General features: G+C 34.8%; 1 protein-coding gene across 4 annotated transcripts in view; it reads left to right on the top strand.

Moving 5' to 3' along the window:
- SKAP2 (src kinase associated phosphoprotein 2) overlaps positions 1-21212 on the top strand; it is a 209821-nt gene that overhangs the window by 101157 nt on the left and 87452 nt on the right. The window contains exon 1 of one of the 4 annotated variants that reach the window (XM_047421010.1): positions 21063-21092. The exons of the other annotated variants lie outside the window; for them this stretch is intronic. The gene's annotated coding sequence lies outside the window, so the exon portion shown is untranslated. Of the gene's footprint in view, positions 1-21062; positions 21093-21212 lie in introns of those variants that run through there. 4 annotated transcript variants of the gene reach the window in all.

Raw genomic sequence — 21212 nt, 5'->3', positions numbered from 1 at the left:
TGTTAACTCCTGACATGGTGCACTGAGCCATAATAATGGGATGAGTTTCATAAATTTTTTTTGCCTTTGTAAATTTTTGGAATCCCTTGGAATAAAAAATTCAGACTTTGTATCTTTTATGTCTGAGTCTACAAAGAAATTTATGGTGCTACTAGATCATTTTCAATGTGAGCACTTATTTTCCTTTGTAAATATTTTCTTATGTGGAAAATCTTGGTAACTTTGGTTTTATCCATGTAACTAAAAACACAAGAAAAATGTTTTTATTTATATTCAAGCAAGTAAATATTTGGTATTATTAAAATATAATTGAAAATATTTATAGAAACCTGAGATCTCAGACTTGAAGACAACATTTTCTTCAGAACAAGTAAACTTCAATTGGTCAGTGAGATGCACAATGCTGTTTTCTCATTATATCCTAAAGAAGAAACTAATGCCTGACTAGCAAGTTTGTTCAGTTAAAATATATTGTTAATGAGGCCAATGTTGTTACATACTGGAACTTGTAAGGGCATTATTTTGTTCTCTGGCTATACATGTAACATTGGCAAATTGGGTTGCAAATTTATGATTTTGGTTACTTGGGTGTCTAAGGAAGAGTCTGAAAGGTTTTTGAAAGAGGTTATAAATTTCTTTCCTTTGAATCATTCAGTTACCTTCACCTTAAAAACTTTTTTACTATTTCTTAGAAAATTATTTTAGTTGTATTGAAAAACATAAGCTGTTTATGGGCATCAATTTTTTTTTTTGTATTTTTAGTAGAGATGGGGTTTCATCATCTTAGCCAGGATGGTCTCGATCTCCTGACTTCGTGATCTGCCCGCCTCAGCCTCTCAAAGTGCTGGGATTACAGGCATGAGCCACCGCGCCTAGCTGGGCATCACTATTTTTTTTTAAAGGCAAGCATTAGCGTCTTTAGGATATATTGGGCAGTATTGCATGTGTGTGTGGATGATACATGTACATATGCATACATTTTACATACACGTGTATGTGTTTATATGGGAGAGAACATTAATTGTATGTCTAGAGTCTTAAGATTCAAAGGCAGTTCAAAGACAGCTAGCAATAGAACAAAAAGATTTCCATATGAGTAAGTATATAGTTTGTATAACAGATGTGTGGATTTTTTTAATTTTTAATTTTAATTTTAATTTTTTTAGAGACAGGGTCTCACTCTGTCACCCAGGCTGGAGTGCAGTGGTACGTTCACAACTCACTAGAGCCTTGACCTCCTAGGCTCAAGCAGTCCTCCTACCTCAGCCTCCCGAGTAGCTGCAATAGATGTTTTTTTAAAAAGCTATGAATAAATTGAACTTTGCAATATCATAATTTAAATGTACCAGGGAAATGTCACTGTTTCAAGATAGTATGAAATAGCATTGGTGACTGTGGCCTGTAAGTTATTTTTATGGTTCAAAAGAGTTTTGAAATTTACTTTTCTTAGCTGCTGGCAAACTTCTCTACTTATCTAATCTTCTACATATTCTTGACATGGAAAGGTCACCCTATTATATATATGTATATTTTGGAGACAAAGTCTCACTCTGTCGCCCTGGCTAGAGCGCAATGGCACAATCTCAGCTCACTGCAACCTCCGCCTCCTGGCTTCAACCAATTCTTGTGCCTCAGACTCCCGAGTTGCCGGGATTACAGATGTGTGCCACCATGCCTGGCTAATTTTTTCTATTTTTAGTAGAGACAGGGTTTCCCCATGTTGCCCAGGCCGGTCTCAAACGCCTGAGCTCAGGCAGTCCGACCACCTCGGCCTCCCAAAGTGCTATTACAGGTGTGAGCCACCATGCCTGGCCTCGCCTATAATATTGCCCTAGTATTGCTGTCTTTTTATTCATTCTGTGCCTCAGCTTCCTTCAGTAAAGCGAATTAGAGCCAGTTGTCTTGTAGGATTTGGTGATATATATAATTCTCTTTATAGCAAATTCCACTGACTAGAAAATTATTTTGCTTAGTATCTGAAAAAGACATTGAATTATAAGATTACATTTTAAAAATATGCAACATACTATATGAGATATCTATGCATTACATTGGAGATGTCAGCCTAAATTTTCAAATGCTAGTTATCATTTTTAAGCTCTTATTCATTTTTGACATTACAGATTTATTATTCCTAAATAAGGTTAAAATTATTAAATTTTTTAATTGCAGTATTGGCTTTTAGTTATTTTGAAGACTGTGTTGCATTAAAGTGTAACTTGATATGGAAGAGGGACTATTGCTACAAATAATTGAATTAGAAAGAAAACTGGAAATGCTTTCCTCTCTGGTTTTTCTTTCCTCTCTTTTCTTCACTACAGATTTATTTTTAAAGACCAGTTGCGTTTTCCCTGTTCCACTTTCGCGCATTTCATTCCTTCATTACTACAGACTATCTTCTGCCCATACTACCTCTTCCCTGATATCCCAACAAGATCACTATATCCTCTTAATTTCCATATTCAGTGAACAGTTTCCAGTAGTTCTCTTTCTTGGCCTTTCGGAAGCAACTTATACTACTGACTATTGATTCATTTCTTTTCTAAAATTCTATATGCTTTTGGCTTCTGGTCAGACAGTTCTTTCATGTTGTTTCTTTTTGGCCTTCCTTTGGCCTCCTCTTTCTCTTGAGGAGGAATGAAAACTATAAGATGTAATCGCTTGGTTGATATTCCACCTAAATTTGACACAACTACAGTAGTCACCCCTTATCTGAGGTTTTGCTTCTGTGGTTTCAGTTGCCCACAGTCAACCAGGGTCCAAAAATAGGTTAGTTACAGTATAATAAGATATTTTGAGAGAGGCCACATTCACTTAACTTTTATTACAGTATTTATTATTAATATAATTGTTTTATTGTATTATTAATTGTTGTTATTCTTTTGCAGTGCCTAAATTATAAATCAGACCTTATCATAGGTGTATTTGTATGGGAAAAAACATAGTATATGTAGGATTCGGTACTATCTGTAGTTTCAGGCATCCACTGGGGGCCTTGGAACATATTTCCCATCGATAGATAAGGGAGCGTGACTATAACCAGAAGTTATATATATAAAGTAGTTTTGTTGTCTTTATAAAAAAATCAATTCCTTTAAAAAGATTTCATTTACTCTCTTGGGTTAGGAAATAATTTTTCTTTCTAGGCCTATTTTCTACTATTACTTTGACATGAATTTGCATTTTCTTTCCTTTTGAGTAGTTTCAGTTAGTTTAGAATTTCAAGTAGTTTGAATTCCAAGGATTCGTGGAATATGTGAACTGAAATAACTCTGTTAAGGAAATTTATGTTGGATCTTTAAGTAAAATTTAGTGTAATTCCTAAAAAAAGATCTGTCATTTTATCTAATTGTTAGGGATGATTAAACTTGTTATTTTATATCTTTAACATATGTTTCTTTTAGCACAGAGCACTTTACTTAAAGTATTGTTCATCACTTTTCAGTGTGGAAATGCATCTTTTTTTCACTCAAAGCTTTGTTTTAAGCATTAAGATGCTTTTTTGAGATTTTCTTCAAATGTAGAACTTTGAAGTAGCTGAGTACTGTCACTTTTACTTCACACACAGGAATTCTTTAAATGGTTCTCTACAAATGGGCCTCTTTTCTTGGCCAGAAAACTTGTATTTACCTTTATTTTAAAGATGGGGATAACAGGAAATGCTTTATGAATAAGCATTCTACAATAATCAACAAAACTTGTTCAAACCAAAAATAGTGATCTATTTCCCAAGGAGGGTGAGCTTAATAAATCAGATAACTGGAGTTGAGAAGGGATAGTGGTGAGTCTGTTTGTAAACTTTGGGTTTCTGAATGTTAATTTTAAGCTTCCCTTTTAAAAGGCCAGGGTTTGTAGAGCTTATCCTGTCAGCAATATCCTGTGTCAATTGTCAGGTCATGTTTAGCATGTGGAGATGTATTAATCTGCCATAGCTAGCATTGTAAGAGGCTGGGATAAAGAGAGGGCTCAAGCAGATGAAGAGGGATTAACTGTGTGGATTGAGCAAACTCCTCAATCACTGAACCAGTGATTTTACAAAGGATTAGCTGCTGCTTTTACAAATATTGATTACTGATTTGCTACTCAGAATGGAGATGACATAACTTGTGCGGTTGCTGTGTAGTGCGCTATGTGAAGTGTACATCATTCATATTAATGGATTTGTCATAGCTATTATAGAAACTGACAGATTGATTATAGCAGCAGTTGCTAGAGCTGTTATGGTTAAGGTTGTGTCAGTATATCTATTAAAACTTCAGGATTTTAGAAGTTTATAGTATAGCCATAAAATTCATTTCCCCAGGTGGAATTTGGAATACTAGTTATTACCTGGCACAGTTATTTTTATGCATATTTTTACATCAGTTTGAAGACATTTAAGTTGACATAGAGCAAAAATACATTATTGTGTTATTTTTGTAATATCAACAAATTTAGATTCATTTCATTTCGGAAAATTTGTCATAAATGCCAGCTTTCTAAACAAGAACATGTCTAGTTCATGTGGACGTCCAAAAATCCGTTTGTATTTTTCCCAGATCAGGAATTGTTTTGAAGCCTTTGGCTATGTTTCTGTAAGCACATGGAGATTTTTGGAAAAGGTAGAAATATCTGGGTAATTAAAAGTTAATGGCTATTTTATTTTCACTTAGGTAACTTTTTATTACTCTAAAAATTTAGTAGCAAGAATTAGAATTATCTATATCAGAGAAAATATGTTCCTTTAATTTTTTTAAGAAATCATCTGTCTTGCAAATGTTTTCTTTATGTCACAACAGGAAAGCTTTTCAGTGAGTTGAGTTGTATCTTAAAGGGTAAGCTGAAAGCTTTCTAGGCAATGATAGTGGTGAGGAGTGGGTAAGTGGAGAAAGGTGAGGGAATAGCACATTTCAAGCAGAGTGAAAACTTGTGTGGGTACATGAGACTTGGACTATTTGAAGAATAGCCAGGTAGGTGAACATTCTCAAAGTAGTACCTTCATATATATTGGGAATATTGTTTTCAAATTGTATCATTGTACTATAAAACTATACTTGTATTGATTAAATTAAATTTTATAGATGAATGGGTGGCATTTTTCTGGCTATGATTTTAATAATATAAATCGACTTAAATTACTTAAAAGCCTATTTTTTGTTTTACAGTTTTAAAAATTGTATTATATAAAATTTTAAATGTATAGTACATGCTTATAACGAAGTTGTTCCCTCTCTGCAAAAGGAAAAAAAAAATTCCCTACACTCCCTAGAAGTAAGAACTGCTAACAGTTCTATGTGCCCTTCCAGACTTTTTTCCTGAGTTTTAAGAATACATATATGTGCTAGAAAAAACATGGAACCAGATATTTCTTAAATTTTAAAAAATAGTGTATCATGCTGGATGCAGTGGCTTACGCCCGTAATCCCAGCACTTTGGGAGGCCGAGGTGGGTGGATCATGAGGTCAGGAGATCGAGACCATCCTGGCTAACACGGTGAAACCCTGTCTCTATTAAAAATACAAAAAATTAGCCAGGCGTGGTGGCACGTGCCTGTAGTCCCAGCTACTTGGGAAGCTGAAGCAGGAGAATCACTTGAACCTGGGAGGCAGAGGTTGCAGTGAGCCAAGATTGCACCACTGCACTCCAGCCTGGGTGACAGAGCAAGACTCCATCTCAAAAAATGGCCATACTGGCATTTTTAAAAATAGATTCAATGCCATCCCCATCAAGCTACCAATGACTTTCTTCACAGAATTGGAAAAAACTACTTTAAAGTTCATATGGAACCAAAAAAGAGCCCGCATTGCCAAGTCAATCCTAAGCCAAAAGAACAAAGCTGGAGGCATCACGCTACCTGACTTCAAACTATACTACAAGGCTACAGTAACCAAAACAGCATGGTACTGGTACCAAAAACAGAGATATAGACCAATGGAACAGAACAGAGCGCTCAGAAATAATACCACACATCTGCAACCGTCTGATCTTTGACAAACCTGACAAAAACAAGAAATGGGGAAAGGATTCCCTATTTAATAAATGGTGCTGGGAAAACTGGCCAGCCATATGTAGAAAGCTGAAACTGGATCCCTTCCTTACACCTTGTACAAAAATTAATTCAAGATGGAGTAAAGACTTAAATGTTAGACCTAAAACCATAAAAACCCTAGAAGAAAACCTAGGCAATACCATTCAGGACATAGGCATGGGCAAGGACTTCATGTCTAAAACACCAAAAGCAATGGCAACAAAAGACAAAATTGACAAATGGGATCTAATTAAACTCAAGAGCTTCTGCACAGCAAAAGAAACTACCATCAGAGTGAACAGGCAACCTACAGAATGGGAGAAAATTTTTGCAATCTGCTCATCCGACAAAGGGCTAATATCCAGAATTTACAAAGAACTCAAATTCACAAGAAAAAAACAACCCCATCAAAAAGTGGGTGAAGGGTATGAACAGACACTTCTCAAAAGAAGACATTTATGCAGCCAGCACACACGTGAAAAAATGCTCATCATCACTGGCCATCAGAGAAATGCAAATCGAAACCACAATGAGATACCATCTCACACCAGTTAGAATGGTGATCATTAAAAAGTCAGGAAACTACAGGTGCTGGAGAGGATATGGAGAAATAGGAACACTTTTACACTGTTGGTGGGACTGTAAACTAGTTCAACCATTGTGGAAGACAGTGTGGTGATTCCTCAAGGATCTAGAACTAGAAATACCATTTGACTCAGCCATCCCATTACTGGGTATATACCCAAAGGATTATAAATCATGCTGCTATAAAGACACATGCACGTGTATGTTTATTGCGGCACTACTCACAATAGCAAAGACTTGGAACCAATGCAAATGTCCATCGATGATAGACTGGATTAAGAAAATGTGGCACATATATATACCATGGAATACTATGCAGCCATAAAAAAGGATGAGTTCATGTCCTTTGTAGGGACATGGATGAAGCTGGAAACCATCATTCTCAGCAAACTATCACAAGGACAAAAAACCAAACACCACATGTTCTCACTCATAGGTGAGAATTGAACAATGAGAACACTTGGACACAGGAAGGGGAACATCACACACCGGGACCTGTTGTGGGGCGGGAGGAGGTGGGAGGGATAGCATTAGGAGATATACCTAATGTAAATGATGAGTTAATGGGTGCAGCACACCAGCATGGCAGATGTTTACATATGTAACAAACCTGCACGTTGTGCACCTGTACCCGAACTTAAAGTATAATAAAAAAAATTAACAAAAAGTATTAAAAAAGTATATCACTATATATTAGTATACCACTTGTGTTTTTCAACCAAGTATCGTGGACATCTTTCTACATTAGTATATATCTTTCCATATTAATACACACAGATCTATAGCATTATTTAGAATGGCTTCATAATGTTCCTCTTGCTGGGCATTTTCCATCTTTCTGTTGTCACAAATGGTATATCAGTGAATATTCTGGCTTATACACCATCATGTAACAGCATTTTAATTTGTAGGGTAGATTCTTAGGAGTTGAATTATCAGGGTATTGTCAAATTTTCATCCACAAAGCTGTATTAAGCTATACTCCCCAAAACGGGGTGAGTGGAGATGCGAGTATCTCTTCTTGCCCTCCTCCCTGTTTGATATTCTTAATCTTTGCAGTTTTTGCCAGTCCTATAAGTTAAAAAGTAGTTTTTAGTGAGGTTTATTCATTTGTTTGTTCATTCAGCAAATTTAACAAACACTTCCTGTGTCCCAGGCACTAATCTAGGCCCTAGGGATACAGCAGTGAAGAGAAGACAGTTATGGTCTCTGGGCTGTTGGAACTTATATTCTAATGGAGGTGGGGAGAGCTCAGGAAACACTACAAATCAATAAACACTCATCTCTTTTCATGTTTATTAACCTTTGTACTTATTCCATAAATTACTGGGTTCATATCCTTTACCTGTTTTTCTATTGACCTGTTCACTTTTTTCTTATTAATTTGTAGTTCATTATCTATTGTGACATCCATGCAAATGTTTTCTCCTATAAATACACCTTGAATAAGTCATCATTTGACAAGTTAATGACTGTACCAGTTCTTATCCATGTATGGAATTATAACAGTATACCTGACTTCTTTGGTTGGTGAGAAAGAATTGGACTAAGTCTTAAATTTCCATATTTCAGCATCCTCTGAGGAATTCTTAAAAATTATTTTTGTATTTGTAAAAGTACATTAGAACCATGAGTCTTGTGTGAGACTTGAAGCTATCCAGGTGAAGGGGACTTAATTGAATTAATTTAATTGATAACTTGTTATCAATATTAAGGTAGATAAAACATATTTGTAAATTTTGTTTTTCAGTGAGAATGTACATCATGGTCTATTCAGACATGATTTAATTACAGCTGAATTCTTAGAGAAACATGTAATAGGATATCTTATTATAAGATCTTACCATATCTAAATTGACTAGGAATAACTTGTGTTATGCCATTTATTCATATGGAATTTTAGCGGGATGTGTATCTTTTGGATTTTAAGTCTTTTTCATATTTTCAAGAGGTCATTGTATATTTCACATATTTATGAGCAAACTACAGATTCAGAGTTCAGACCATTTTATTGCCCTAGCCTCCTCTGAGGTAACTTCCAGTGCCTTACAGGGCAAATGAGGGAGCACTGAACTGCTCTTGATGTGATGTTTAAGTGTGGCTGAACAGCACTGGTTGTTTACATGAAGTTACATCAGTTGTTGTGTGTTGTTAGCAATCGTTTTGTTCTGCTCAATATTCCATCAGTTTCTTTTTCAAAGTTTAATTTTGACGTTTCTAATTTGAACTAAATCATTAAAATTTCTTGGTGAAATTGTTCTGGTAATGACAACTCTTAGTTGGGAGAAAAAGAGACCATGTACGATTGGGCTATGTCAGCTCTGGCAGATCCTGCAGTGAGATAGCCCACACAGTGAACATATTAATGAATTGCCTTTTGATGTCTTGCTTATAGTAAATATCAGTTTCTATATTTGTCAGTTGGGTTTTTTTTTTTTTTTCACATCTTGAATACTTTTTGTGTGTGTGTGTGTGTGTGTGACGGAGTCTCACTGTGTTGCCCAGACTGGAGTTCTGTGGTGTGATCTTGGCTTGCTGCAACGTCTGCCTCCTGTATTCAAGCAATTCTCCCACCTCAGCCTCCAGAGTGGCTGGGATTGCAGGTGTACGCCACCACGCCCTGCTAATTTTTGTATTTTCAGTGGAGAAGGGGTTTCACCATCTTGGCTGGGTTGGTCTCAAACTCTTGACCTCAAGTGATCCACTCGCCTCAGCCTCCCAAAGTGCTGGAATGACAGACATGAGCCACCGTGCCCGGCTTACTTTTTTAAAAATATGCTAAAATCACATAGCTAAATAGGCACTTTTTATATTATACGTTCTGTCCCAATTTTCTTCCTTTTTATTATGTTTCTTCATGTTGGTGGTTATAAAGTTTAGAACTGAATGGGAGTGTTAGTAATTGTGAAAGTAGATATTAAGGTGGGATATAAATATAAGGATGACCTCTTTGTTCTTCATGTCTTACGGCTATCTTGCTTCTCATTCTTCTGTCTCCTCATTGGTTTCTTGAATCTCTTTATTAGTGGGGAATTGCACCTAATCATGAGCTTCTCAAAGGCAAGGACTGTAGCTGTACCTCTTGCTCCATCACAGTGCCTGGCACATAGTGGATGCTCGGTAACTGCCTGATGAATGAACCAACACATGCAGGCAACTGGCTGCTCAGTACTGCTTTTTATTATGACAGCCTCTCTTTCTCTCTCAAGACTACTGTGAAAGGTGTATTAAATGTTTACAAAATTGTTTTAATGACCCCAAAATTAGGTAGTTATAAATAAAAATCATTAGTTGCACTATCATTTATATTTTGGGGATTTTCCTTCTGTTTTCAGTGTGTACTGATTGCAGAACTGTGTTTTATCTGTATATTGATTTTTTTATTTTGCAGTGAACGTTAGCTTAGACCATATTTTACAAATCCTGTACACAAAACAAGGTTTTTAAATATACCATTCTGAGCCATATAGATGATTTTGTTTAAAATTATACTTCTACATTTGAAAGAAGTACCCTTGGTGATTTCCATGTGCACTCAAATTTCAGAACACTGCCTTATGATCCCCTTGCTCAAATTCCAGTGAAAAAGACACTCTTGTGACACACTATTTTAGCCTGATACTGTAAATACCACATGAATGTCTATGTCTGTCTCCCTGGCCAGTCTCACAAATGGCTGTTTACAGTTATTCCCCTTTGAAACTAGGTATCAGAAAAAGGATTAAGCATGTGGTATGCTTTTATTTCCATAGTAAGAAGAAAAACTGCTACACATTAACTGTTCTAATATTGAAATTGTAGTATGAATTCTCTAGTAATTTACTCAGTTATATGGATAACAATGCTTTATAATCCTTTCAGTTACCCAGGTGTACATATGATTACCAGTTCATACTGAAGAGTAGACTCAGGCATTTTATCATTCTCAGTAACATGTTGTTCTGTGGATATTTGGTGGATACAAAGTAGGTATATGCTTAAAATTTCACAGGCTGGAATTGTCCTGGCACTGAGTTAGAGCTTTATAGGCCAGTTGCTGATTTGTTTTTGTGTTAAGATGATCTTCATCCAGGTTTATGTCCCTGCAAAGTCATTAAACTTTGTAAATTGATAAATAAGTGTATTAATTTTACCCCCAGCCTGGCTGCTTGTTAAAGGATATGGCTCTTGACTTAAGCAGCAACATAAAAAGAGTTGTGTTACCTTCTTGCAGAGAATGGAGTTTTTCTTGAGATTTAATATTTACCAGAAGTCTGATCAAGGCAAACAGGATTTTGGAATGATTGTCTGAAAATTGTGCAGGGTGTCTGTTCCTATAGATACTCTATGATCTTATCCTTGAGTTTAACAAAGCTTTTGGGAGTTAGCTGTATACTTGGGCCTCCTCGTTTTGTATTCTGTAGAATTGCTTTTACTGAATTTCACTTTGGCATTAAGCTTTTGGCTCAATATGAATGATGTTATACAAAACAGCCCTATGAAACTTTTATTTTATATACTGTAAAAATGTTATTGAGGACATTGAGAACCATGGGAGAAATTTCTTTCCCATTTCAGTACCAGGAGCCAGAAATAGTTGTGTTTTCTTCCCTGAACAATGATATGTATTTATCTTATGGGCAATGGCTCATATAATTTATTGTATTTCTTGCTTCATGTTGGTTGTTATAAAGCTTATAAGTGAATTTTTGGCCCACTCCTCACAAGTGTAAATGACTTTGTAGTTCCAAGTTGTCTTCTGTTCCACCCTGACTTCTAATTTTGCCTTGATTTTAAAAAATATTGAAATAGTGACACAGAAAAGTTGCGAGAATAACACAAAGAGTTCCCATATACCTTTCACCCCAATTCTCCTAACATTAACATTTTTCTATACAGGTATTTGCTTTGTCACTCTGCCTCCTCCCTTTCCTTACCCTTCCTTTCTTCTCCATCTTCCATCCTCCCCCTCCCTCCCACCCTGTGTGTATACACACTGATAGCTCCTGTTTGCTTTTAATTTGCCTCTCCAAATGTATCTGTACAAATGCCTGGGAAATGCTTTTTGGGGGGAGAAGGAGGCAGTATATTACTAAATTAACAATAATAATAGATAAGAATGTATGAATTTCATATCTATATTGAAAAAAGAGTTATGGAAAAACCTCTTGTTTTAGGTGGAAGGAAAACAAATGGTGTGTGTGTCTGTAAGAGAGAGGGGAGAAAGATTGCATACACATGTGTTTTTAGGAAGATGCTTATAATACTTTAAACCAGAGTAGGTACTTTGAATGACAGAAGAGGGAAAATGCCAAGACTTCTTGATTTAAATAAAAAATTAGATAGTTTCCTTCTTAAATAGAAACAGGTATACTATTTACCTATGAAGACTAAAGCATTAAGAATGTTTGGGAACGTATTTGCGTTAGTAATCAAGCTCAATTTAGTAATCAAATAATCAGAGTAGGACTGTGAAATAGAGTGAGAGCCTTAATTCAGCAATTTACCTTCTGTTAATAAGTTAGTCATAAAATAATTTCATGTCTGATAGTTTTCAAACTACACATTTGTCACTTATTTTTCTTGTTTATTTATTCATATTAACCACCCCTCAATAATAAGGTTGTTTTGGGAGATGGGAATAGAATGACAACTGTTTATGTACCTGTTATTTTTCTTAAGACAAAAACAAAAACGTGTTTTATTATACTGTACAATGTAGAAGACATTATAACTCTGCATATTCCTATTTCAGATACTTAAGATATAATCTTATGTTATTAATGACTCTAAACTTTTTGTATACAGAATAGGAAAAATAAATTAATAAAAATGAGTTTAAAGAATATCACAAATTATAAAAATGTTACTTATAATCTGAAAATAATTTTAAAAATTTATACCTCAAAATCCACAACATAAAGCTGTTGCAAAAGTAAGTAAATCAATGAAAGAATTGTCCTATGGCCTATGTAAAGATAAAGCATAGTTGAGTGGAAAGAAGCTAAAGAATTCAATCTAAATTATATTCATTTCTTATTTCTATGCAGTTTGCTAGAGGAATCTGCATACAAAAGGAACCTCCTTTTCCTTCCATAAACATCATTTTCCCCATTACTAATTTGTTCCATGTTTGTGTATATGTGTTTTTAAACCAAAATGGAAGTATTTCAAATACATTCTTAAGAAGCAAAATTGACCCAAAATCTTACAGATGAAACAACACCCCACAATTTAAATGTATGGTATATTGGCCGTGTGCAGTGGCTCACACCTATAATCCTAGCACTTTGGGAGGCCAAGGTGGGTGGATCAGCTGAGGTCAGGAGTTTGAGACCAGCCTGGCCAACATGGTGAAACCCCATCTCTACTACAGATACAAAAATTAGTTGGGCATGGTAGCGCATGCCTGTAATCCCAGCTACTTGGGAGACTGAGACAGGGAAATCGTTGAACCTGGTGGTTGGAGGTTGCAGCGAGCCAAGATCACGCCACTGCACTCCATCCTGGGTGAAAGAGCAAGACTCCATCTCAAAAAAAAAAAAAAAAGTATGGTATATTAGGTATATCTATTAGGTATATTAGGTATATGGTATATATGGTATATTAAAATATATCATGTTACACTTAGGGAACTAACCTTAAATAATGGTAATTGCTTTAATGCCATAGAAAAGTAATTCAGTGATGTTGTCTGACACGGTTTCTATAGATGGCATTCATTTATTCCATCAGCAGTGGAACATAGCATTTCAGAAAATGGGCTTCTGGGCAAGTAGACTTAAGGTCCTTGCTCCACTTATTGTGTGTTATCTTGATTTCTGATTGGTAATATAGAGTTAGTAATACTTAACCTCTTAGGGTTATGTGATGATGACATGAGATGATGACTGGTGTCATCATCTTTACCTAACTCATGGTAAAGGCTCAATAAATGTTAACTGTTGCAGTGCTGTTATTTGTAATCATGCCACTGATAGTGCTTAAAAAACATATTTAAGCTTATAGTATGGAGATAATAGAAACAGTTGTGTTTGATACAGAGATAGCATAGGTAAGGAAGAAAGAAGTAGGACCTATTATTATTATTATTATTATTATTATTATTATTATTATTGTTATTATTTGAGACAGGGTCTCACTCTGTCACCCAGGCTGGAGTGCAGTGGCACTATCATATGCAGCCTTGAACTCCTGGACTCAAACTATCCTCCTGCCTTCTGAGTAGCTAGGACTACAGGTGTGAGTTACCATGCCTGGGTAATTAATACATTTTTTATAGAGATGGGGTGTTGCTGTGTTACCTAGGCTGTCTCGAACACCTGGCCTCAAGTGATCCTTCTGCCTCAGCCTCCCAAAGTGCTAGAATTACAGGTGTGAATCACTACCCCCAGCCGAGGACCTATTATTGTTATTGTTTAAATTTTATACATAATTGTTTGACTTTTAAGATGCCTTCAACAAATTTTCAGTGAAGTTGAGTTTATGTTTCCTAGTTTTCTATTTTGGGTAATATTTAGAAAAGAGCCTGGCGCATAATATAGACTAGTAAAATATTGTTTAATATATGAGTTAAGAACGTTCCTTTTCATTTATGCTAATCTTTATTATGTATAATCTTGTCAAATATGTGTTTATGCATCAGATTTGTTTTTGGCCAAATATCTGTAACCAGAAAGAAAGTCGTATGGTTAAAAGGTGTTTAACATTCATGTTTTTATTCTAGTGGTTTATATTTTCAGCCTCCTTTTTTTGTATGTGTATGGAACAATGGACTTGTGGCAAATTTGAGTTGCCTTTTAAAAATACTAGTAGTAATAAGAGACAACATTTCTTAAAGAGTTATCTTAAGTGCTATCCTACTACATCCCCACCATAGCTCTCCATAGTATGCCCTCCTATTATCTACATTGAAAGATTTGAAAACTAAAGCTTAATGAAATCAAGTGACTTGCTAAGTCACAGAGCTGGTAGCTATCCTGCAATCTGAATGTAAATCCAGGGTTTTGAACGTGATTCTAAAATGCAGTATCAGTTTGGGGGCACTTTTGTTGTGGAAAGAGATGCATTAAATTAAAACCCAGTTCATAATTGTATATATTTAATTTTATAATATTTAGAGTCTGAACATTTTGATATATTTAGAATTATATTTTTAACTTAAGGAGAATGTATTCCATTTTAAGCTTGCATCTCATTTTCTCAAAGTATGTATTATAGACTTTTTAAAAAGGCTATTATTTTTCAGAATTTAATGTTTTACTTGCTACAGAGCAGATGACTAAGATATAGGCAGATAAAGAGTTGCTGAGGAGTTACTTTATGTGGCAGGCAAAATTTGATTTAAATTTTTTATGTGGAATCTAAAGATCCCTTTACTAAAATAGAAAAACACAGAGGGTGCCCTATATTATAAATATATAAACTAGTAGTCTTGTCTCTAAAGTAAAACCTTACTTTTAAATGATTGATTCAGTATATTGATATGCTATCTTCCCCGGAAATAATTGAGAGATTCTTATAAGGTTTTCCACAAATTAATAACTCTAGAATTTTTAGATAAAAACCATATTTTAAAATTCTATAAGGAACAAGTTTAATATATTTTAACAATGTGATAACTAGTGGTTTATTGTTAGACCAACGAATCAGAAATCTTAAAGAGATTTTTTTCACATCTACTTTTATGAGAAAGGGACAGCAGTTCTATATTAAAGATTTATCTAAAGAAGCAGTCTTCAGATATGTAATAAGATAGTTCAGTTTCTGGTCGTATACTTAAATGTATGTTAAAGTAAAAGAAGCAGTTTTAAATGAGTGGAGAAGGATAATTGGACTCCGTGTCATATAATTCACATATACTATTCATCTGTGACTTTTTGAGCATTATTTTAATGGATGTTGGTGAACACAATTGATTTCAGATTTCATTATTCTGGAATCTTGCCATTAGAATTTTTCATAGTTTGGTAGATTTCTATGGAAATTAGTAGCAGCAAGAAAGAAAGGAAGGAAGAAAAAAAGGGAAAGGAGAGGAGAAGAGAGGAGAGGGAGGAGAAAGGGGAGCGGAGGGGAGGGAAGAGGGGGAAAAGGAAGGTGAGAAGAAGAGAAGGGAGGAGCAGGAGAGGAGAGGAGGAAGGAAGAGATGTAAAATAGAAGCTTTTGATTGGACTCTGAACAAATGCTTAATCTTTTGGATTATATTCATGAGCATATCTTACATGCATGTAGCTATGATATTAATAGTTACTGTCTTCTTTTGTTCTAAATAGACCTATTGAAGGCATAGTGAAAATTTCCACCCTAACTCCTTTAGAGTTAATAAAGGCAAATTTGAATTATCCTCATGGTTATTCCGTTTTTGCTTGGTAGCCTTCAAAATGGCCACTTTACAGAGGAGGGAGGAGATTAGCAGATGTTAAACCCTTGAGTTGTAACCTCTGCTTTTTCCCCAGTGTAGTCACATAGGCTGCTATATCAGTTTTTAAAGCCTTTTCCCCAAAGCATAACCCTCCTGAGAATTCTATGGTTCTACTAATTGAAAGTTGACCATCTTTATGTCAAAGCATGGTGTGAGCTTTTTTGTTTTTGTTTTTCTTAAAAGAAATATCATAATAGGCTTAGAGATCGCCAGTACTAGTATATTCATTGGTGAATCTCTTCTGAAGAAAGTAATAGTGCTACGATGAGAAAACAAGCTTTTTGAAAAGACTATGCTAAAGTAACACAATTAGTCCTCTTTTAGAGTTACGGCAGTGATTATTGTTTGAGGTGCCTGTTGAATATATAATATCTTCCTTTTGCTACTAAAAATACTGATAAACAGATTTGAAATTCCAAATTTCCCACATGGAGGGAAGAATTATTCAAATATGAAAAATATTTAATTTATGTATTTATTTCTCTCATACATATTCCAGGCCAAGGTTCTAGCTGAATATTAAACCTTTTAAATGACATAAAATAGTTCTATGCTAGATGTAAAAGAAGTTACTAGTTGTTCTACAAAAAATATGTTGTGAGCAATTTCCACATTTGATATAATTGAAACTTCAATCTAATCTTGGACCTTGGCCATTTGCTACTGAAAGTACAAGAAAAATAGTAGTGTGGATATATTTCATGAAGTCCTGGAATTAGGAGGGCTTTGGAGATGATTGAACCTATTTTTTTCAGGTTTTAAAAGAAGAAATTGAGTCCAGAGAGGCTCAGTGACATGTTTAAGGTAAAAAAAAAAAAAAAAAAAGGTATGGAACTGAGATCACATTACAGACTTCTTTAACCTGTGCCATGGATTTCGAAGTCAGTATCAATGTACAGCTAAGCTTCTGGATATGTGCCACACCACTAAAATATTTTATTTAATATTTATATCCAAGTTAAGTGTAGGTTTCTCTCCTTTGTTGGTGCATAGTCTTATTTTGTTTTGGTTCTTTGTTTACTTTGCAGATATGCTAGTGAATTTTTATACTTAAAACCTATTAGAATAAGAAACAAAGTGTCTGCATCCCTGCATCTTTGTATCTATTACATAATTTCTAGAAACAGGGAAAATAGCTTCTAAGTTTATGTGTGCAATTATAAAGTAAAGTGTAATTAAACTGCACTTGTGGAATGATGAGTTCTGAGTCAGTCACAGCTCTGGGAACAGAGGCTTTTTAATGGACTATTTCCTAAAGCTAAGTACTAAATGTACCCTTCAACCAAAAATGTCACTAAGATAGTGGACCTCAACTGGAAGGATAGTGGAAGCAAAACAGAAAGCATTTCTCCACCTTTATACAAAATTACAGTGCATTGGGATTATATCGGTATTATGACATACTGGCACCTGAAAATGTATGTTCATTCTGTTTATCACTTCTTAAGAAAAATGAACTAGAACTGGAGAAGCTAATCTAGATAATAAAATAACCACTAGTGGATAGGTGAGAGTATCACCTTCATGAAATGAGATAATATTTTTGGAGAATCAAAGCCTAATATATGTTTCAAATATAAAGCAATCATTAAGTGGGTAAATACTTTTTTTAAAAAATGGGTCTATTATCCAGGCATGGTGGCTCATGCCTATAATACCAGCACTTTGGGAGGCCAAGGCAGGCAGATCACTTGATCCCAGTAATTTGAGATCAGCCTGGGCAACATGGCGAAACCTTGCCTCTACAGAACATACAAAAATTAGCCAGGCATGGTGTTGTGTACCTATAATCCCAGCTACTCAGGAGGCTGAGGTGGGAGGATCGCTTGAGCCCAGAAGGCAGAGGCTGCAGTAACAAAATCATGCCACTGCACTCCAGCCTGGGCTGCATTTTTGGTAGTTTACTACATGAGTTTAGAAGAGATAAAACGAAGCTCTATCTCCCCCCAGGAGGTGGCCAATTTATGGAACTCAGTATCCCAACTATTAGGTGAAAATGAATAATTTTAAAAGGTTTAGATAAACTTGTAGATGCTTTATTTATTTGAATTGTCAGGAAAAAAGATATGGTTGTATGGTTGAGAAGTTTATTCTTTACTTTTTGGAGTTCAGGGAAAACTCACATCATGTGGTGACACAGAATATTTGACTAAATGGACCAACATCTTGACTCAGAGTGAAAATTCTTAGGAATAACAACAGTCTTTTAAAAAGTATCTTTCCTTTCTTTTCCAATATAAGGGAAAAGGAAACTTTAGTCGGGTAGGTGGTAGGAAAAATTACCCTATGTGAAAGCTTGGTGTTCATGTTGAAAACTATATAAATGCCAACTAGAAAAGGGAAAATTGAAGGGGGCAAAAGGTGAAGCTCAGAAACCTAGTCGTAATTTTGCATAAAGTCTAGATTAAACAACCAAAAAAGTGTGAACATATTAGTGTAATGAAGCCAATAATATGATGAATTATTGATGATAAAATAGTAAAAATAAGGCTTTGGATTCCTTAGAAGTCTAGCATTTAAATTGATCACCAAAGTTGCATATCAAAAAATAAAAATGATAATAAAAACATGTCTATTTTGAAAATGTCTCTGAGTCATTGCACTTTGGTAATGATGTCTTATATTGTCTTAGAAAAATTAATGCATTTAAAGAGGTATCAGACTGGGATATAGTGTGTGTGTGTGTTTGTGTGTGTGTGTGTATGTGTAACATGTATCAGGGAGGAGTCTATTAGGAGACACATCAATGTTAGGGAAGACCCTGGAATATAGTGTATTGAGGCACCCAATACTGGACAAAATTGTGAATCAACATTTGTTCATTTAGATTTGAGAAATCTAAATAAAAAAGAAAGGACCATTAGATCTCCCATTCTCCTCAACTCTAGCTCTTTCTCTCTCTCCCCCAACTCTAACTCTCTCTCACCCCCATTCCCTTGCCTACTCAAGGGACTTGCGTGCTGTTCTAGGCCTTGTCTTCTGAGTGAAGCTTCTGTGATCTAGACACATTTTTCTACTTTTCTTTGTCCTAAATACAGTAATGCAATTGTCTACCCTGTTAATGCCAAGACTGGGTTTAGACCTGACCAACCTAACACCTGAAATGTCACTAAGTGATACTTCCTACCACAGACTTCATATTTTTCTCTGAAATTGAAGTAACTACTATTTTTCATTTTGAAATAATTATTTTTAATTGTTAACACTTTTTAAAAGATAAAACTTATTTCTTAAGTATATTACAGGCATTTAAACATTCCAGTGTTTTTCATCCTAGATTCAAGAAAAAAAAAGATAAAGTAATAGTTTAATAAAATCACCAGGAGTGGGTAATACCTTAGTTTTAAGGTAATTTGTTATCAATTTGTATACTTTGTATCTCTTCTCTGCTTTTGAAATTCTAGTATCCATACTTGAAGCTTGCTGTACTATGTCTACAATATACACCATTTGTTTTTAAAGCAAAAGCTTTAAGGCACATTCTAGAATTCTTGAGTTATCTTTTAGAATCAGTTACCTTATGAATAAAATATCAACCTAACTATAGGGAAATTTGGATTTCACTATTGCCTTTTTCCCTGAATTGCTGGGAATATAGGCACTTGATACTTGTTTATTTGAATTCATTGTGACCTTGTTACCATTTTGAATGCTTCAGATTCTCAAATTGCATGCTGGAAGAAGACCCATTCCTTGCTTAGTTGTCCTTGTAGGGTGTCGATTTTAATGTCTAATATTTTGAGCTGCTTTAGAAAAGTAGGTTTATCATATAAGAAATACGTACTCATTTTATAAAAAGAAAACTAGTCTTTCTCAGTATATACCTTACTTTTTCGGGCACTGAAAGTTTGTGGCCACTTAAGCAAGCCCATATAATAAATTCCTGTAGCATAGTCTAGTCCCTAACATATGGGTTAATTTTTGTTCTCCCCTTAGGATATACTTTTTTCATTAACCACTTTCATTTAAGTAAAGGGAAATCTTTTAACTGCTTTAGAAGTAGCTACAATGCTTAACTTGTATAGTTGCTGAATCATGCTTTTTCCTGTATTTCATTTCTGATTAACTTTCTCTGAGCAACATAGTCTTACGTTTACATTAGCATCCATTCACTTGAACTAGTAGTTACAGTTATAGTAACATATAACAATATTTAACTGTAATAGGTAATGAAAGCTAACGTTTACTGAATGCCTACTATGTGCAAAGGACTAAGACCCAGTGCAAAACTTTTTTTTAGGACAAGGTTTGAATTTTAATAGTGAAGCTGAGAATGTGATTGTGAATTCACCAGAATGTTGTATAATTGACTGTTCCATAGTGAGATAACGTAATTGCGGTGTATGGCAAACATGTGGCAGCTCTTTGTTGTTGCCTGGCAGATAGGCTTACATTAGCCTTAATTTCCTTTTCTTCATGTATCATTATGCATGTATTTTTATAGTCTTGTTTCTTTGTACCAATCTAAATCTTCCTAAATGTCAATAGCGTTAATCGTTGTAGGTATAGTGATATGAGGTCTAAATGATATGAGAATTCATATTTTTTTAAAAGGAAATTACTACTTTTTTATATATTATAACAGATTTTCCATCCCTGCCATCAGAAAGTATTGTCCATATGCTCATGATGATATACAAACCAAATGGTTCTTCTGAAAATTTAAAAATCTAAAGTGTTTACAGGGATTGCTATTAGTGTACTTTTGTGTTTTAAAGAATTCATATGGCTATTAAGCAAATCCTGGATATTGGACAAACAGCAATAAAGGTTTAGAAAAATGAAATTTCAGTTAAAAAAAATGTACTCCCCCACTCCCCAGGGAAGAAATCAAAGATTTTATATTAGAAACATGAATTTAGAATTCAGAACAAGTATTGCTTATGACATCAAATTTTATTGTGATGTATCAGGTGGAAATTTAGTCAACACTTTTCTTAAAGCAAAAGACTCAGGCTATGTGTATATTGAACGCTAGTAAATTCTAATTTCCCTTCTCCTTTTCCTTTTCCCCCACTTCCTCTCCCCTCTCCCTTCTTCCCATCTCTCTCTGTCTCCTTTTTGACCAGTAACATTTTAGAGTTGAAAGCTATGCTAAAGGTACCCATTTCTTTTCAGAATAATTTAACTTTTCTTAAGATTTTGTGAGCATCCATTCCTTATGTAAAGAGCATTTATTATGCCCAATGGAAGTGAGAGGGTTGTGGGACTACCCCTTAA

The sequence above is a fragment of the Homo sapiens genome, chromosome 7, assembly GCF_000001405.40.
Source record: "Homo sapiens chromosome 7, GRCh38.p14 Primary Assembly".
Lineage (NCBI taxonomy): Eukaryota > Metazoa > Chordata > Mammalia > Primates > Hominidae > Homo > Homo sapiens.
Note: the sequence above shows the minus strand (reverse complement) of the source record. Positions and strands in the feature narration are given on the sequence as shown.